This window comes from Homo sapiens, chromosome 10 (genome assembly GCF_000001405.40).
Source record: "Homo sapiens chromosome 10, GRCh38.p14 Primary Assembly".
NCBI lineage: Eukaryota > Metazoa > Chordata > Mammalia > Primates > Hominidae > Homo > Homo sapiens.
This window is the reverse complement of record NC_000010.11, coordinates 132,231,700-132,250,414: the sequence shown is the minus strand read 5'-3', so window position 1 is coordinate 132,250,414 and position 18,715 is coordinate 132,231,700. Positions and strand designations below refer to the sequence as shown.

General features: G+C 59.8%; 1 protein-coding gene across 16 annotated transcripts in view, besides 1 other annotated feature; it reads left to right on the top strand.

The window, feature by feature from the left end:
* Window positions 1-18,715, top strand: part of STK32C (serine/threonine kinase 32C) — a 124,754-nt gene that overhangs the window by 81,821 nt on the left and 24,218 nt on the right. For 10 of the 16 annotated variants that reach the window (XM_011539693.3, XM_011539688.2, XM_011539690.3 and 7 more), the window contains exon 2: window positions 4,460-4,515. Coding sequence is in view for 10 of the 16 variants with exons in the window: in XM_011539688.2 (XP_011537990.1) it covers window positions 4,460-4,515 (56 nt within the window). In the remaining 6 variants the exon portion in view is untranslated. Of the gene's footprint in view, window positions 1-1,306; window positions 1,386-4,459; window positions 4,516-4,569; window positions 5,515-14,307; window positions 14,890-18,715 lie in introns of those variants that run through there. The other 6 variants (NR_134911.1, XM_047425114.1, XM_024447949.2 and 3 more) reach the window with 3 other exon arrangements.
* Window positions 6,645-7,529: an enhancer, noted in NCBI's record as "H3K4me1 hESC enhancer chr10:134056390-134057274 (GRCh37/hg19 assembly coordinates)". NCBI's record gives its function as "activates a minimal SCP1, AML or CMV promoter by ChIP-STARR-seq in naive H9 embryonic stem cells {active_cell/tissue: H9 hESC(naive)}" and the evidence as "EXISTENCE:reporter gene assay evidence [ECO:0000049][PMID:30033119]".

Here is an 18,715-nt window from a genome sequence, read left to right as displayed (position 1 = left end):
CTCTCCTCTCTGCAGTGACCTGTCCCGTGCGCCTCACACACACCTGCCCTCTCCTCTCTGCAGTGACCTGTCCCGTGCGCCTCACACACACCTGCCCTCTCTCTGCAGTGACCTGTCCTGTGCGCCTCACACACACCTGCCCTCGGGGTGGGGCTCCTCTCTGCAGTGACCTGTCCCGGGCGCCTCACACACACCTGTCCTCAGGGTGCTGTCCCCTCTGCCAGTGCCACCCTGGGCTCTGCGGCCTCAGCCCCTTCCCTCCCCCGGTGCGGAGCCAGCGTGCAGGGAGCTCTGGGAACTCTCATGAGAGGAGTTTGATGGACTCCGTAGACACCGGCTCCTGGTGACTGTGGTGGTTGCAGGACCACTCTTGGGACACCAGGCTGATTACATATTGCTCCCCTCAAAGCCCACAGGAAGCTGTTTTGACAGATTCCGGCTGGTGGACTTCCTTTTCCTTATCTCCTCCGCTGAGTGCTGGAATGAGAGCTCACCTCTCCTTTGGGAGCCAGGAATGGGGCTGAGCCTGGGCTTGCGTGGGGCAGGGCCGGTGGTCATGGGAGGTCCTGGCCCAGCCTGGGGCAGTGCGGAGACCCTCATGGGTTGCTGATGGCAGGAGCTGGGGACAGGAGCCTGAAACAGCCACTGGGTCTCCAGTTCCACTGGTTTGGAGCCTTTGGGGCTGGGGTCGGGAGGGCATGAGGGCCGCTGTGCACAGTGGCAAGGCCAGGTGGGCACCTGGGGGCAGCAGGAGCTGGGCATCAGGGTGGAGCCACGGTCATCCAGAGGACAGCCACGATGCCGGTCAGCCCCCTGCCAGTGCCCCTGACTCACCTTGCGGGGTCTGGGCCAACAGGTCCTTGAGCAGGGATCCCTGTGGACATGGCCGGCAGGGACCACTTGGCTCGGGGCTTCTCAGGGGCGCTGGTGCGGTGAGCCCTGCCCAGGCCCACAGGTGTCCACTCTGCTGCTTGCACGGCATCCTGGAGCCACATCCAGGATTCCTGCCCTGCCTGCACCTTCCCTGAGCAGCATCTGCATGGCTGTCTTGGACTTGGTGTCCCTTGGTGTCCCTGTGGCTGCCCTCCTTGTCAGTCTTAGGAAGCAGGGACAGTTGTGTTCAAATCACAGGCACTGCAGAGTGGGGGCCGCATGCCCCTAACCCCACAGCCCCACCCTCAGCCCCACTCCCAGCACTCCCGCAACCCCACGGCCCCGCCCCTGACACGCCCTGACCCCCATAGCCCCGCCCCCTGCACGCCCCGCCCCCTGCACGCCCTGACGCCACAGCCCCGCCCCGGCACGCATGCGCCTTGCTGCTGCCTCCCAGCTGGGAGCCTCTGCCGGAGCCGCCGCCTCCGTCGCACAGTCGGGAGGCTTTGCAGGTGTGCAGGGCGCAGGTGACCCAATTGCCGTGACTCCCTTATGCTTCTGACTTGTTATTTAATAGATTTTGTTTCCCATCCTTTTCCTCTCCGGGAGGGACTAACCTTGGGAACTTGTGCTTATTCTCTAAAGTGGAGGTGATGGTGGCTGGACTCCCTTGCTGGTTCACAGCTCGGGGGCCAGAGGCTTAGGGCTCTGTGCTGTGCGGGCTGCTTGGGGTCCTGGGGGAGGCCGCCAGAGCACGTGCCCATGGACAGGAAGATGCTGGCTTCGTTTCCCAGGGCAGTGCAGGACTGGACTCCAGGTACCCATGTGCCAAGTGCCAGGGTCAGGGGCCTGGCACAGCAGGTGCCATGTGGCCGTCCTAGGCATGCACGTGGGCGTGGACCACCACCCTCGTCCTCAGCTCTGTTGGGAATGGCCAAGGCTGTGCCGACCACGGGCTCCTGTGCCCGCTGTGGCTCTTTTGCCTCTACCGGCCGCTGCAAGGAGCACAGGGGTCTCTGGGCAGCGGCAACCTGGGCCTGGGTGGAGCCTAGGTGGACAGAGGGTCCTTGGACCCAGAGCCGCCCAGCGGAGTTCATCTCCCCAAGCTGTAGGCGGCCAGCTCAGCCCTGGGCCTCGCCCTGACACCCTGTCCCCTCCCCACTGCAGGGCAGGCCCCGCAGACTCCGAGGTCTGTCCTGTTGGGGTTGCTGCTGGATGGCATTGGTGTCCCCATCTCCCCTGCCACGGCCCAGCTGCCCTCTCACTCTCCTCCCTCCACTAGTTCAGCCCATCTGTCCCACGTGCTGGTTCACAGCTGACTTTCCTTTAACATCTGGTGACGTTGGGTGACGCCACATGGCGGCAGCTGCTCCCTGCCTGTGCGGCCGCGGCCCGGGCTGCCTTGGAGTGGCTTTGCTGGTGCTGGAGCAGCCTCTGCCTCGATGACATAATCTCTGGGCGTGCATAGGTTTTCTTGAGGAAGGAGGCTAGGATGCAGGGTGGGGCAGCTGCCGCCTGGAACGGGGGCTCGTGGAGGCTGTGTCAGCTTGTGGGTGTCGGCCACGGGTCTTGTCTGTGCAGCACGGCCCGTCCTCTGCGGCCTTTCTGCCCAGTGCCCAGCTCTGATGCCTGGCAGCCTCTTCTCTCACCCCTTGAAGCCCCACCCCCTCCGTCAACTTGGTCCCAACCTCCTGTGCCAGTCAGTGCCCCTCTGGTCACTTGCAGTGGGGAGTGCCTTTCTAAGGCGCTTAAATCAAACCGCTCTCCCCACCTCTGCGAGTCAAGCCCCACTACCGTCTTGTGCAGAGGAGACCAAGGCCACAGGTCACAGCCCCTTCCTCACCCCCAGGTGCTCTGCTGACTGCCCTCCCACTTCACCCAGGACCAGCTTGTGGGTCTGTCCATACCCTTGGGGTCCTTTTCCTGCCTGTGCCCAGGCTGGCCCCTCACCTAGGCACCCCCTCCCTTCCCCCAGCTGATGCCTACTTGTCCTGGAGGGCCCAGCACAGGCGTCCTCTCCCCAGGATGCCACCCTGCGCCTTCAGGCCAGCTCTGCCCTGTGCTCGGAGCCCTGAAGCCTCCGTGGGTCCTTGTCACGGCACCCGTAGCTCAGGCTGAAAGAATTCTGGGTGTGTGACTCTGTCCCCAGGGCCCATGAGGATGGACACTTTGCCTGCTGCGTCTATGCTGAAACCTGGGGCTATCCTGGGGTGCCCTGGGAAGGGAGTGGGCATTTTCCAGTTCAGAGGAAAATGCAAAGAAACCTTTCGTCTAGAAACTGTTCTGTCTCCTCCTCCACACACTGAGTGCCTAAAGCACTTGCCCCACCAGACGGCACAGGGTACCGCCAGGGAGCAGTGGAGATGAGACTCTAGGCCGTGCCTCCCAGGAGGGGTCAGTACCTACCCTGCTGTCTCCCCGGGTCTGCCTCTGGCCTTGGCTGTGTCTTCCCTGCCTTTAGAATAACCATGTGTGTAGGGGGTTGTTCCAGCTGTCGAATTCCCCAGAGAATAAGTGAACATGAGGCTGGGGTAAAAGTGGGTAAATAGGTGAAATGTCATGAACCAGCGGGTGTCCTAAACCTGGCTTCAGGGCACAGTGCTGGCCCTTCATGGATACAGCACACTGAGGGGTGCAGACCTGGGGACACGGACTTAGGGGTGCAGAATTGGGGACACAGGCCTGGGGACACAAGTGGAGGCAGCTGCTGGCCTGGGAGTCATCTGGAGGGGCTCGTCCTGGAGGCCAGGGGGTGACATTGTGGGACCCCCGTCTTATGTGTACGGAGAATGTCCTGGGTTTGAAAGGCAAGTGCAGACGGTCTGGAAAGCCCATCAGAATCCCTTTCCTTGGTGTGAATAGGGCACACGGACAGGTCTCACGAGTGACAATTAGGGGAGCCGTCCTTCTCCCGGAGGGACTTGCAGGTGTGGGAAATGGTGCCTTCTGCAGCTTCGCACAGGCTTGCGGAACGGCTCTCATGCTGGGCGCAGGCTCTCCCAGGCTACACAGGTCATGGTGGACATAGCCACAGCCCTGAGCCGCCTCTCGTTGTTCATCTTGGGGCCGTTTGCAGACTCCCCCAGGCTTGCCCAGTGAGTGCCAGCAGGGCTGACACCCCTGTCCTCTGGAGACGCGGAGCAGGGTGGAGGGGAACCAGGAACAGCTGCTCATGTGTGCATGGCTTCCCCCAAAACCCCAGGCCTGCCTGTCTGGGGGTCTTCACTGGATGGAGCAGCTTTCAGTGGGGGTGGCTGGTGCCTGGGAAGACAGCCCAGTCGAGTCTGGGACTCAGGTGTGTGTGGTTCATTCTTGCCCCATCCATGCTGTGGCTGAGCACATGCCTAATCCCATAGCAATCCTGGGAGTAGGACGTGCAAGACCCAAGGCCCATGTCTTCACTGACCGGGGCTCAGCCCCCTCCTGCCTCGCACAGGAGCGAGAGTTTGGCCCGCCCCACGGCGACCCTCTTCTAGGATGAGGGGCCCTGGGCAGTGTCGGGGTGGGGGATGTTGAGGTGGGGGAGCTGCTCTGGGGTGGGGCCTTGCTGCCACCTCACCAGGTGTCCCTCTGTTTTATCCTGCAGTGAACTTCGACCACTTCCAGATCCTTCGGGCCATTGGGAAGGGCAGCTTTGGCAAGGTAAGGCAGGGCCTGGGGTGGGGACTGGGCTGAGGGGGCAGGGGCAGAACCGTGGAGTCGGACATGCTGTCCCCTGAGCCCACCTACTCCCATCCTCCTTGGGAGAAGCAGCCTTACCTGGGCAGAGGCTCCAGGTCTTTTAGGGAGGACGTGGGCACTCCTGCCACGGAGGCAGCTGGCTGTGCCGCCATCAGACTGGGCCCCATGGTGTCACCAACTCCGCAGCGTCCAGGAGCCACCAGGAGGACAAAATCGCAGCTTTGGCTGAACTGGAGCCTAGAGGCCAGGCTGTGCCTGCGGCTGCTCCTCAGGACCTACAGGGGACAGGACGGAGGGTGGGTGCTGAGCGTGCATCCTCAGCTGGTCCTTGTCCTCATCCTTATCCCTGTCTCCAGCCCCGTCCAGAGTGCCCTGCTGCTGTCCTCCAGATAGGCCTGTTTGCCGGCCTGGACGGAGCCCGTTCCTTTACTCTCCTTTTGTTTTCTCTTGACCAGATCTAACTTCCTGATTGCCGCCTTGTAATATCTAGAGATTGGGGGTAATTATAACTCAAAGAGGCTTAACGAGCACTCGGAAAAGGTTGGAATTAGCCCTCCGGCTTCTGCGCGCAGCTCTGTTGTGGATGAATCACTTCTGAATGGACAGTTCTTTTCAGCTGTCCCGGGAGGCTTAGCAGATGGGTGCTGCCTCCCTCCTGCTCCTGGCTGTACAGCTGCCTGGACACTGTGTCTATTTAAGCCCCATAAGCCCTTTTTAAAGCGATTGCCATGCTACCGGAGCATAATACGTAGGGTATTTGAATGCGATTAATTACCTCCATTTCATTGTATAGCAAACGATGGCTCCACTGGGTTACTTGAGGCCTGGGATGATGAAAAGTCAGAGCAAATGAGCCCCTTTGCGCAGTGCATTGAGAAAGCTCCCGTGCACCAAGAAGAGAGTGCTTTTGAGTCCCTGCATGTTGGGAGGCGCCCGTGGACCTGCACCGTTTTGTTGCTGGTGAGGCTGGTTGACCATCGAGGTGAGGTGCTGAAGCTGGCGGAGTTCGTCAGAGACGCTCAGGGCTGTTGGGACTGACTCAGACCCTCCTGTCCTCCCAGCTGAGCCTAAGTTCTGTTTCCCAGGCCCACAGCGGGTGCACGAGGGGCAGGCAGGATGGAGTTTTGGGGGACTGCTCCCCTCTGGCAGCGGAGGACGGCAGCTGTGACCAGGTTCAGGAGAGGTGGCTTAGGGGGACCCTGGGAGTCACCAGGCATCCAGAAATCAGGTTCAAGGAGGGAGGTTGGGAAGCCTGGGCCCGGCCAGCATGTCTGGAGAGGGCCAGGCCGAGGGCATCTGAGGGGCAGAGACCTGCCCTGGGGAGCGAGGCTGGCGGGTGCAGGTGCTGTTTCCTGGGGCCCCCAGCATCTCCCCATTGCCCCTGTTGCCCCCGCCTCTGCTGGCCCTGCACTCCTGCCTGGGGATGGTCCCCTCCTTCTCATGAGCACAGGTGGGCAGCCTCAGCCCTGCCCACCATCTGTAGACTGCCAGGGTTCTACTCCTTGGACCAGTCCTTAAGAGGCTCGGAAACGCCAGCTGGCCCAGAAATGGGCGGCTGTGGAATGCGGGGAACAGGAGCGAGCTGCTGGGTGCCGTGTTCAGATGCGGGGTAGTCGTGCACCTGGAGGGTTCCTTCCGGCTCACAGTTAGGCCTCCTCATCAGGCCTGCAGGGGTTCTGTGCGGCGCTTGTTGATGGGTGCCTGGCACTGAGGGGAGGGTGAGGTGAGGCCTGTCACTGACCTGGAGGGGTCCTTCCAGCTCTTTCACTGGCCAAGGCAATGACCCCATGGCAGGAAGGATGAGGGCTGAGAAGGGTGGTTCTGCGTGTGGTTGGGCTGTAGCTGTGTCTGCTCACATGTGGCCTCAGTTCAGAGGGGCTGCAGCAGCAGGGGCCCCAGCCACCCCTGTTTCCCTGCAGGTGGTGGTGGGCCCAGGCTCAGCTGTGCCCAAGCCCTGCCAGTGTTTGAGCCACCTGTGAAAATGGCTCCGGGTTGAGGGGTGGGATCCCCTGGCAGAGCACCGGAGCCCACCCGTTCAGGGCGGCGCAGCATTTAGAGTCTGACCGGGTAGAGTCGGGTCCTGCCAAATGGCCCTGGTGCAGCTGCTCTACCACCAGGGCCATGGCTCCACCCTCGGGGCCGCCGCTCTCGGAAATGGATTATCTAGACCTGGCCCTTGGCTTTTGTTTTTGTTTTCAGTTTTTAAAAAATTACAGTGAATTACACATAACAAATTTACCATTTTCACTGTTTTGAAGACAGCTTTGAGGCATGAAGTACATGGTGCCCCCGGTTCTGTCCGGCTGAAAGTGGTGGCGGTAGTTAATTCCAGGACTAACCACTTAGCAGGGAGGAATCTAGACTTGGAGAAAATCTGTTTCTCCCTGCCATGGACATTCGTCCAGCCTGCCCTCCGCCCCTGCCTGCCCCCTTACCCGGCATAGACTTCCGTCCAGCCCACTCTCCACCCCCGCCTCGCCCCCAGGCTGCTCAGTGTGATTAGAAGCCTGCTGCCTCCTCAGCGTCCAGCCGGGGTTCCAGAGGCTGCGGTGTCTGAGAGGCTCGCCACCTCCCCAGCGCTGCCTAATTGTGCTTGTTCAGAATCCAGGACATCGCATTCCAGCCTTGGGCTGTGGATATCTCAGGCTGAGGGCCATGATCCCAGGAGCCACAGATGGGGGCAGCCCCATTCCTGCATCCTCCTGTGAGCTGGTGGGTGGGTGGCTTGGATGCAGCTGCCCCAGGGATGAGGGGAGGTCGCTGCCCCAGGGTCTCTCTGGGACCAGGCTTGGCTGGGGGGTGCAGACCAGTGCAGGTTGGGCTGGGCATGAACCCCAAGCCCATGCCGAGCCCCGGCCCCTCTGGCCTGTAAGGTGGGCCCCATCTCTGGACACGCATCTCTTAAAAGCCATTGACCTTTCCGGTCTGTGGTTCCCCTGGGTGGGGGTACAGCGTTTTCCTGTTCTTTGGGCCCAGGTTTCCCAAACCAAACGTGCCATGGAGGAGCCGCCCCTCTGGCTGCCTTCTGAGGCTGAGAGCCAGGTCTGTGAAACGTGCTGACAGTAGGCACAGGGGCAGGAGGAAAAGCATACGAATTTATTATTAGTGTTACGTGTGCAGGGCATCGTGGGGGAAAAAGAAAACACCCAAAACAGTGGTGGGCCCCAAGGGCTGATGTGCAGGCTGGGAGAAGGGGGCGCGGGGGGCCGCATGGGGGGCACACAGCTTTTGGGGAGACTACAGGGCCCTCGGAGAAGCAGCGGGGGCTGTGATGGTTTGTGACTGAGCCTGAGGCGGGGGTGGATCCTGGCCCCTCTCCCGGGGGAGGGTCCCTCTTCCTGGGCCGCTGGAACTGCAGGGGGGCTGTGCTGGCAGTTCCTCTTGGAGTGTCTGTCTTTAGGCAGATGAGGGGAGTTTGGAGAGAGCCCCCCCAACCTCAGGTGCTGTTTTCCAGTGGTTTCTGCTCCAAACAGTCAACAACGCAGAGTTTACTGGTGCCGTCGGAGCCCCTTCACCACCCGTGCCCTTCCGTCCTCCTGCTGCACTCCCCCCACTCGTCCCGTGTCCTGGGTGCCTTCAGCCGCCCTCCTCCCAGCAGCTCCCAGCTCATGGCCCCTCTCAGAGGACACCAGCCCCTGGCCCCCATACATGCTTGAAGGCCGTCTGCACCCAGCACTGCCTCATTCACGATCAGGGCAAGAAACGTTCTGTTCTGGGGAGAATGGAGTCCATCTGGAATTCAGCATTTTTTCAGTCAGGGTCTCACTGTGTCACCCAGGCTAAAGTGCAGTGGCGTGATCTCGGCTCACTGCGACATCCACCTCCCAGGTTCAAGTGATTCTCATTCCTCAGCCTCCTGAGTAGCTGGGACTACAGGCGTGTGCCACCATGCTCAGCTAATTTTTTTTGTATTTTTAGTAGAGACAGGGTTTCGCTATGTTCTCCAGGCTGGTCTCAAACTCGTGACCTCAAGAGATCTGCCCACCTCAGCCTCCCAAAGTCCTGGGATTACAGCTGTGAGCCGCTGCTCGTGGCTGGAATTCAGCACTTTTAAGTTGGCGGGCTTGAGGTCTGGAGCTGCTTGTGGACAGCCCGTCGAGGGTGCAGGCCTCTCTCTGGGCTTCCCGCTCTGTCCCCTGAATGAAGGGTTCGCTGACCAGTGAGTCCGCAGTGTTCTGGAGCCTCTTCTACACTCTGCCAAAAATGCCGGCTCTTCCTTCGTGTTTATTTTTCCACACGGACTTCTGAATACGTCTTGTCAAGGTCGAAAGTAACCCCGCTGGGATTTGGATAGGAGTTACGTTTTCAGATTAATTGAGAGCAAAGTTGAGATCTTACCCATCTAGGGGTCTAGTGTCTTTTACCCAAATAGGCGTCTGCTTTTTCATCTTGATTCTTCACATTTTGTTCCGTTGATGATACGTCGTTCCTATGGTTATTCTATGTCATGTTGTTACGTGGAACTTTTTGCTGCCGTGACTAACAGACTTTATTTTCTAACTTTTCCCAGTGTTAAATTGTCGACCTTGTCGTTGAGCCACTGCCTGGCCCTGAGCCCTGCCTTCCCGCAGCTGTCAAAGGGGCAGTCGGCGTCCTCTTTGGATGCCTCTTTGGAGCCACGGCTGTGCTTCTGGCTGGAGGAGTTGGGTGGGCTGGGCGTGTGGCTCTTGCACCCAGCCTGGGCAGCAGGTGTGGGTGGAGGGTCGGGTTTGGCTTTGCCAAGCTGTGGCTGGTGCTCCTGGGAATAACAGCCAGGCCCTCACTTAACTAGGAGTGTTTGGGGTGTGAGTGCTAAGTGCTGGGAGATCGTGTGTTCCCGTTGACTTCTGTAGGGGCAGAGGCCGGATTTCCACTCGGCCAGAATGCTGCAGGGAGCACCAGGACGCCAGCTTGACGGTGTCTGATGGGCACAGCTATCAGGAGGCAGAGGCGTGTCTCTAGGGGTGTGGTGCCCCTTTGGGGGTTCGAGAGCCCCTTGCCCAGATGGATTTCTCGGTGGCACGGCTGGCTGTTGGGCAGTGGGCACAGTTGGGTGCAGCCCCGCCCCTTGACCCTAAGTGGGTCTCTGCCCTCTCCTCTCTAACCCCCCTGGCTGGCTGGGCTCCTCGCCCTGCCCTGCGCACCCCTCACCCCAGGCCATCCCCCTGTCCGAGGGAGAGAGAGAGAAGCACAGGCGCACGGCGTCCGCATTTCCCAGGCTGTGGGGAAATAACTAAGAAAACAGGTCAAAAGGCCTTCACCACAGCCCCCACCCACCCCGAGGAACCGCCTGTCCTTGCAGTGACCCCACATCTCAGATGGACCCAACAGAGAGGCAAGAAGAGGATGAGCATGTTTGTGGGTGAAGAAGGTCTGCCTGGCCGGGCTCCCCAGCTCCATGCCCCCGTGCAGGGCCTGTGTACGTGGCCTCTGGATTCCACCTTACCTGGGCCCCCTGTGCCGTCTCAGCGAGAAGACAGTGCCTGTGGTCGCTATGGCAACCCGCCAGCGGCTGCTGTAGGACCACCCTGCCATGTGTGACTGTGACACCGTGGCTGAGCCTGTGGCCTCTGAGTCCACGCCGGGAGGAGCTGGTTCTGAGGGTTCCTCATCCATCGGGGGGACTCGCTGCAGGTGGCGAGCAGCACTGGCTGAGAAGAGCTTGCAGGTGTCCGGGTTCTGGGATGAAACTCAGTTGCCAGCTTGGGGTCATGGGTTTCAGGCCACCACCCAGGCGGCTTGAGTCAGCACTGCCTGTAGCCCAGGCTCTGCCCTGGGGGGGCTTCCCTGGGGGTCTTCTTTGGGGGGGGCCTCGTGCTCTCCAGGCCACCAGGATGGCAGCTCCACCGGAAGGCAGCCTGGGTGAACTCAGCCTGACAGGCAGCTCCGTTTCTTCCTCATGTTCACAGCCAGCGGACGCTGACGTCGATTGGAAGCTGGGTGTGCTGGGGGTTGCTTATCTGTGACGTGTGTTCCCATGGCGAGTGATGCGTCCCTGTCCTCACTGTCCAGACCCTGCTCCTGAGATGTCCAGGCCTGGATCCTGGGCTTGGGACCTGGGGAACCCGGGCCTATGTGCCGTGAGTGACCCCTCACATGACAGCCCCCTAGTGTCCGGGAAGCCTGGCTGAAAGGGAGCCATCAGTGGCCGCTAAAAGTTGACGATGTCCAGCAGCGTCTGCTGGCCTGCTGCCGGGCTCCCGGGGCAGGGGCTGCTGCAGTCACTGCGGGCGGCTGGGCCTGGGTTTCTCCCAGATGGCCCCCACTTTCCAGCAGCACAGGCTCTGGTTTCCTCACCAGCCCACTGCCTGGCCACCCCGCTCAGGGCAGCAGGAGCCCTCTGCGGCGGCCAAGTGCGTGGCATGGAGCGACCCCCATCTGGCAGGGAGTGTGCGGTGCCCCTGGGGACTTTGGAGCAATGGCGTTTCTGGACTCCATTAGTTGGGACTAAGATGGTTTGATACAGGCTTTGTTTGGGTTTTTGCTGACTTTGCTGTGATTCTGTGATTGTGTGTGTGAGATGGGCTCCCCCAGCTTGGGGAGGACCGTTTGCTGGTGCCGGGTCCAGAGAATGTTTACTGGGTTGAGCTGACCTGCTCTCCTGTGGGGACCAAAGGAATCTGCCGGCTGGACCGAGGGCCCCAGGACAGGCTGTGGGGAGGCTCAGTGCACACAGTGCTCTTGTCCTGAGCCCTCACACCATCTATAAAATACCCACCAGCATCCTGAGGGTTCCAGCCTGTGGCTCTCAGGATTGTGGAGTGCAGTACTGGCCACTGCAGACCCTGTCTGGCTTTGGGGTTTAAATGGTTAAGTGCAGTGTGATCTTCCTCCCTTGGACCTCTGATGGGGAGTGCTTGGCCCTGCATGTCCAGCCTGGCCCAGGGCGAGGGTTTCAGGAGCACTGAGGACCCGACAGGGCTGGACAGTCACCCCGGCACTGCAGCCTGGTCTCCGCCCAAGTGTCCACCCAGCGTGCCCGCTCCTCTGTGTGTGCATACCTGTGTACATGAACGTGTGTGTGCCTGCATGTCTGTGTGTTGCGTGTGTGTGCATGCCTCTGTGTGTGCATGTGTGTATGTGGTATGTGTGTGTGTGTGCATGCATTGCACATGTATGAACTGTGTATTTCCAACGCTTTAATGTCAGGGCCTTGCTGACCCTGGAGAGACTGCCCCTCCTGGGCCAGCCACTTCCTAGAGATCAGAAACACTTGCCTTTGGTTGCCTTTCAAATGCAACCCCCAGCTCACCCCCAGCCGTCTGCTCTATGCTTTCCCAGGCTTGAGCCCACATCCCCTGCATGAATCACCTCAGGACCTGACCCCAGACAACCAGGGCAGGCCTGTATTCCCACAGGCCAGTCTCAAACCTGCTCACCTGGCTTTCCCCGCCTTTCCCTGCTTTTCCCGAGGAAGCCTCCACTAAGGCTCTGCCCGTGTTTCCCCTTCACGTCGTCTGCCTCCGAGACCCTGGTCTTTGCTGTGTGGCCCCACGGTGTGGCATGCCCCTCCTCCTGTTGGTAACTATAACGAACGGTCTCATCAATGGCAGGCATCTCCTGATCTCACCCACCTGTGTGATAATAAAACCTACATTTTAAAGCAAGGGGCATCTCCTGAATCATGTGGATCTCTTGGACCTGCTGTGTAGCTTCCCGTGGGGGCCTCCGAGAGCAGCTGCTGCACCACAGTCCTCAGTAGAAGCTGCCTCGGTCCCAAGGAGGCTGCCCCGTGCCCTGGCCAGATGGTGGGAGGAAGTTCCCCCGCCAGCACTGCTGGCAGTTCCCCAGGCCTCGTCCACTTGCCTGCCACACTGAGGGGCCCAGCTTAGCAGCTGCCTTTTCTCTGGGAGGGTCAGGGCTGGAGAGTCTCGGGGGCTCCAGGCTGTGCTGGGTCTGACCACAGTGGCTTTGGAGGGAGGCAGAGATGCTGAGGATTAAACAGATCACCTCCCACCAGGCCAGCGTTGGGAGGGGGATGGCAGCACTGATTAGAGAACCCGGAGGAGCCCTGTGTACAAGGCAGCTGGAGGTTCCTAAATGGTCGGGAAAGGGGGATCCTGCTCTCCCTGCTGTGGGGAAGCTGATTCTTCCAGGGCTGGTTCTCCTCCAGGCTCTAGGGGCAGAGGGGTGAAGCCACACCGGGCCAGCCCCGCCGGCACACACTTGGGGGAAGAGGGGTGAAGCTGCACTTGGGGGCAGAGGGATGGAGCTGCACCGGGGCCAGCCCCGCCGGCACACTCAGGTTCCTCTGTGCCTCGCCCTCTGCTTTGGGTTCACCTCCGCCACCACTGCAGGAGCAAAGAAACCCTGCGTGGGGACCTCGGCGCAGAGTCTGCTTAGGAAGGAGTGGTTACCACGTGCTCCTAAATGGGCCAAAAGGCGGTGGGAATTTGCCGGGCCCGTCTCTCTGGGTCACCCAGGCTGCACCTTTATGCCTTAAAATAGCTGTTTCCCTCATGACTGATTCAGGAGGAGGAGGAGAACTTTCATATCCATTTTCTCATTTTCTTCCCTCGACAGGCGTGTGCATGGTCCTTGCCTTTGCCTTAGAGCTGCAAGGAAGCTGAGGCCAGAGAGGTGGCCCTACTGGCCTCTGGTCAGGTCACCTGGCTTGGGAGGAGCAAACGCCAGTGGAGGGCAGAGGGGCCCAGCCTGTGAGCCCAGGGAGCACAGTCCAGGGAGCACAGTCCAGGGAGCACAGTCAGGGAGTGGGAGCCCAGGGGCAGGAGTGGGCATTTAAAATGAAACCGCCCACCCAGCTGGCAGCTCCGGTCTCAACAGTCGGGAGGCTGTGGCCAGAGACCAAGGGATCCATCCACCCGTGTGGGTCCCTGAGGGCCGGCCTCGTCGTTAGGGGTGGAACTGGGGCAGACAGGGTTTCCGTGATACAACCACAGTGTGGAAGCTGAAGATCTTCTAGTACTTACAGACCTTGGCGGGCGCGTGGCAGGCCTGGTGCCCACAAGCACTTGGAGGTCGGGGGCACAAGCAGGGAGTGCAGGGACCCTGGGGCCAACACGTTTGTCGGGTCCACAGGAGGTCTGCTTGGTGGGTGAACCCCAGGCACCAGGTCGAGGGTCACACCGTGATGGACATGTAAGCTGGCAGGCACATGTCTGAATGGCCGGGAAAGGAAGCCTCTGTTAGGTGGGAGACACGCCTCTAAGTTTCTATCTCTGGCTGCCGGCTGGAGCCACTGGGGTGGGTGGGGGATAGTACTGGAAACCATGTTGAGGGTGACTGAGCCGTTCTGGTGTGGAAAGTTAAACTTGTCATGCTGCCTCAGGTCAGTCTCAAATATGTCATAGGCACCCCCTCCTGGGCTGCCTTCCTGGCTGTCCTGCAGCGAGCCCGCGAGTGAGAAGGAAGCTTCCTCGCCACTGCGCTGGGCCCACACGTGGCAGACACAGCTGCCCAGTGTGTGTGGGGCCCGTGCACGGTGGGGCTGCCACCTGCCACCCAGCCTCAGCTTCCTCATCTGGACCGGGAGCCCCTGGCCACCCCATCGGGTCACCCCCTTCTGCGAACCTCATGACAGGTTGTGGCATCCAGGACCGCGGGGACATTGTTGGCCATTTCCGGGGCAGTCGGGCCTCCGCGTGGGCCCAGAGCCCAGGTCCCAGCATTGACCACGTCCCTTCGCTGACCAGGCCGTGCGCAGGCTCTGCCACCTGGGGAAGGGGCCAGGGGTCCTTTCTGTGCTCCTGACTGAGGCCCATGTGTGGGCTTTGGGGCCACGGAAGCATTGCCTCAACTCTTCTCTTTTTCTAGTTTTTAGAAGATGCAACTCACATGGTATAGAGGAGGAACACTGTGACCCCCCACAAGCACCCGGGTCCGGCCTCATCAGGGACCGACGCGACACCAATCCTGTTACAGCCACAACCTTCGCCACCTCCCGCTGTGCCCTCGGTATCCGACATGAATTCCAGAGAGTGTGTCATTTTATCCACTGATAGTTTAGTGTGTTATCTTTAAAGATGAGGACTCTCTTCGTAGCCACCGCCACGGTATTTTTCCACACCTGAAACAACGGTCTTTACGATCCCATCACACTGCGCCAGGCTTGTGTTCTCCCAGTGTCTGTGAATGTCTTCTGATGGTTTCTCTCAATCAGGATCTGGATGAGTCTGTGCAGTGAGGTGGGTCCGTGACCGCCGGTCACTCTGTGGGCCCTGTCCTTGCTGTTTACTTGCTGAGGGCCCAGATGGCTCTGTGTCCTGAGCATCCTGTCTGCTTCTGCTGCCCACGTCACCTGGAGGCCCCGACACTGTCCCTTCCTCCTGCCTTCTCCTTCCTTCTAGAAATATCCCTTGTAAAAAAGATTTTAGTTCATATTTCCATTGATTGATTGATTTCTTTCCTTTTTTTTTTTTTTTTTTTTAAGGCTGAGTCTTGCTCTGTTGCCAGGCTGGAGTGCAATGGTGCAATCTCGGCTCACTGCAACCTCCGCCTCCCAGGTTCAAGAGATTCCCCTGCCTCAGCCTCCCGAGAAGCTGGGATTACAGGCACACGCCACCACACCCAGCTAATTTTTTGTATTTTAGTAGAGACGGGGTTTTACCATGTTGTCCAGGATGGTCTTGAACTCCTGACCTCGTGATCTGCCCGCCTCCGCCTCTCAAAGTATTGAGATTACAGGTGTGAGCCACAGCGCCTGGCCTGATTTCTTTTAACATATCTGTTTAATCTGCTTCTGCCATCAAGGGTGGCACACCACTCATACAGCTCACACCACTCACACCACTCACACGGTTCATACCAGTCACACAGCTCACACCACTCACACAGTTCATACCAGTCACACAGCTCACACCACTCAGACAGTTCATACCACTCACAGTTCACACTGCTCACACCGCTCACACCAGTCACAGCTTCACCTTGCTTTCTTCCCCAACCGTGTGTCTGGTGCCCCCTGTACAATGTGTATCCCTGCCCTAGGTCCCTTCACAGCCACATCACTTGCCCTGGTGGGCGTGCCACACAAGCTTCCCACCTGCCCCGGTGGGCATACTGCACAAGTGTCCAATGGCTGCTGTAACAAATTAGCCCATGTGCAAGGCTTTGAACAACACAGACTTCCTGTCTTTACCTGACCTCCAACCCCCAAGGCCCCCCCAGCAGCTCATGAGAGCCACAGGCTCGAGGCAGCCAGAGATGCAAGAAGAGGTGGTCCCTGACTGACAGGAACGGATGGCAGCCACACCTGCCCCGGCATCCCACCACTCCCCAAGCAGGAGGGGGAGAGCCCTGGCATGAAGGGGCCGGAAGCTCAGAAGGGGCCATACAGAGCACAGGATGCAGGGTGTGGAGGGTGAAACCCTTTGGGCTCAGAGCTGTGTGGAAACAGGTGAGAGAAAGCTCTCTGAGTGAAGGAGCACCCAGAGTCCCCCCAAGAATTCATAGAGACCTCACCTAGCAGCAGGGCAAGGCAGAAAAAGCGAAGTGGGCAAACCTGCTGGAGGAACCCCCGCTGTTTCAGAGGGGACCGTGGCAAGGCATGGGAATGTGGCAGAAGAGGAAGGGACGTGGAGGTGCCTCCCAGAACTCGGGGATGCATCGGGAAGTGTCAGGAGGACACAAGGGAGAAACAGCGGCAGAGCTCCCTTGGAAGCGGCTGTCAAGCTCGGGCAGCATGGAGGGTGGCCCTCAAGATGGATCACGGATTATGCACATCCTGCACACAGGTCCTCGATCCCAGGGCGAGGAGAGCTGGGAGTAGCCAGGCAAGGTGTTAAGAGCCTTGGTTATCCCCAAGTGGGAGAGTCCACGAGGCCACAGGTTCTCAGCCACTCAGGAGCAGCATCTCCAAGCTCTGTTTGAAGATAGCCAAGAATCCCAGACCTCATCGGAACGATCGCTTGCATGCAAGCACCAGAAAACAGTATGTCCATAGTAGTTCCACAGTGGCGAGGACTCAGACGGCGCCCCAGCCCATCTGCTCTTCCAAGCCCAGTAAGGCTCCAGCCAGCATGAAGCAGCTGAGGGGAGGCAGCTGTTGCCGAAGGGGCCATCCTGCAGTCGCAGCAACTGTGTGCCTTAGCCCCACGGCAATGTTCTGACTAAACAAGGGCTTTAGGCGGGAGCGCGTGTGGGCCTGGGAGGTAGCTCCGTCCCCTGGGAAGCCGGTGGGCTGAGTGCCCCTGCCTGGCCACCAACACCTGACAGCCATAGGGCATGGGGGGTTCCCAGCCTCTTGGGACAAAGACCCCCCTCTGCCATCTGCAGTGGATGGAACAAGAGCCTCAGTGCCAGGTGGTGCCATCGCAGCATGGCCACTACAGCCGCCACCCAGGCCCCTTGGTGAGCTTGCCAGGGTCCACCTCTTCTTGAGAGGTTTGTGGCCTCGTGAGGCGTCTTAACTTCACCAGCCATGGCCTAGGAAGCAGCCACTAGGCATCGGGGGAAAACTGAAACCCCAAAACGGATTCCCACTCACCGCGTTAGAATCCTGAGCTCATCCAGGGAGAGGGACCTGGGACAAGTGGCCTATGGGACACAGCTTCTCAGGGACGTCAAGAGAACAGCTTCAGGGGGGTCTCAGGAGGGGCAGGAGGAGAGTGAGAGATGGAACTGCCTCTGGAGTGCACGGGAGCCCGGTTCTGCCTGGGGGACCCCTCTGCCTCCAGTGCCCTCCCCAGAGGCCCCATACTGGGCTGCACCTTCTTCAGCCGCTGCAGACACCTTCTCCAGCCCCGTCCTGGGCACTGACCCTCCCGTTTTTGTGGTACCCAGCACTGAACCCTGGGAGGGAGCCTGCCTTGCCCTGTCCCGCCCTGCTGTCCCCACGTCCCCAGGCTCTACTTCTCCTTGGGACACCAGAAGCTCCCCCAGGAAGGATTAGGAGGTGGTTTCATTATACCGTTTAGAGGCCTTAGGTACTTGTGGTCAGGCATTTGCTTCTGGGGAACAAAAATTACTTGGAAAGAGAAAGAGCTTGGGTGAATCACTTAAATCTGCCAAATGCATAAACAGCATTTGGTTGAATTGGCAGTCACATGGCTGCAGGCACCAGCCTGTTCCGGGTGGCGCTGTGGCCTCCCCGTCAGTGGCGTTTCATAGGAAAAGCCCAGGGCTCCGGGTGGCGCTGTGGCCTCCCCGTCAGTGGCGTTTCATAGGAAAAGCCCAGGGCTCCGGGTGGCGTTGTGGCCTCCCCATCAGTGGCGTTTCATAGGAAAAGCCCAGGGCTCCGGAGCCCGGGGTTGGCTTGTTCCTCTTTGTGGTGAGACCTCAAACTCCATTTTCTCTTTGGGCTTAAGTTGGTGATTGGAGGAAGCGGCTGGGAAAGCAGGGACCAGTTTCCTGGAGGAAGCGTTTGAGTCGGACCTGCCTGCCCTCAGCCCCCCAGGCCTGGTCATAAAAGGCCGCCGGTTTCCAGTCTTTTTTGTAAACACTGCTCTGCGTGATCTCGGGTGCTGAGGTCCCTCCAGACAGAGACTGCACCAAACCCAGGGCTTTACGCCACCGCTCGTTGGAGCCTCCTGCATCAGGGGCCCGAGGGAGCCTGCCGGACCCGCCCTCTTCTCTGTTGTCTTCACCTAAGAGCACTTTGATGTGATTGACTTAATCAAATCCATTTCAACGGAAAACCCCACACCACCCCAAACCACCTTCAACGTGCCTGACAGTCCAGGCCTCAGAGGGCGGGTCCTAGTGATAAGGGGCAGGACAGGCTCCCCACCTGCTGGCCTGGGTCAGAAAATGGTGAAGGAGATTAGGGGAAGTGGGCTGCTGGGTTGGCAGGTGCTCCGGTGAGGGCGCAGCGTGAGCGCAGGTGAGGCTGCTGCCTGCAGGCGTGGCCGCAGGTGCTCAGAGTCTGCAGGGTGTTATCAGGGATGCAGAGACACAGGAGGCGTGGAGAAAGCGAGTTTCCCGCCACAACCAAGTTCCGTAGCTCAGTGTCTGCAAACAACAGAAGTTTCTCTTGTAGTCCTGGAGATGGGAAGCCTGAGACCTGGCAGGGTGGGCCCTCTGGGCGGCTCCGTGGGAGGACCCGCTGTGCCTTCTCCCGGCGTCTGGTGGCTGCTGGCCACTCGTGGTGTCCTCAGCTTGCCGCCATGTCACTCCATTCCCAGGCTGGCATCTTCACATCACTGCCTCTGCTCCACCTTCACACTCCCTCGCCCCCATGCCTGCGTCATCTTCTCTTTTCTGTCTTTTATCAGGGTGTCTATCA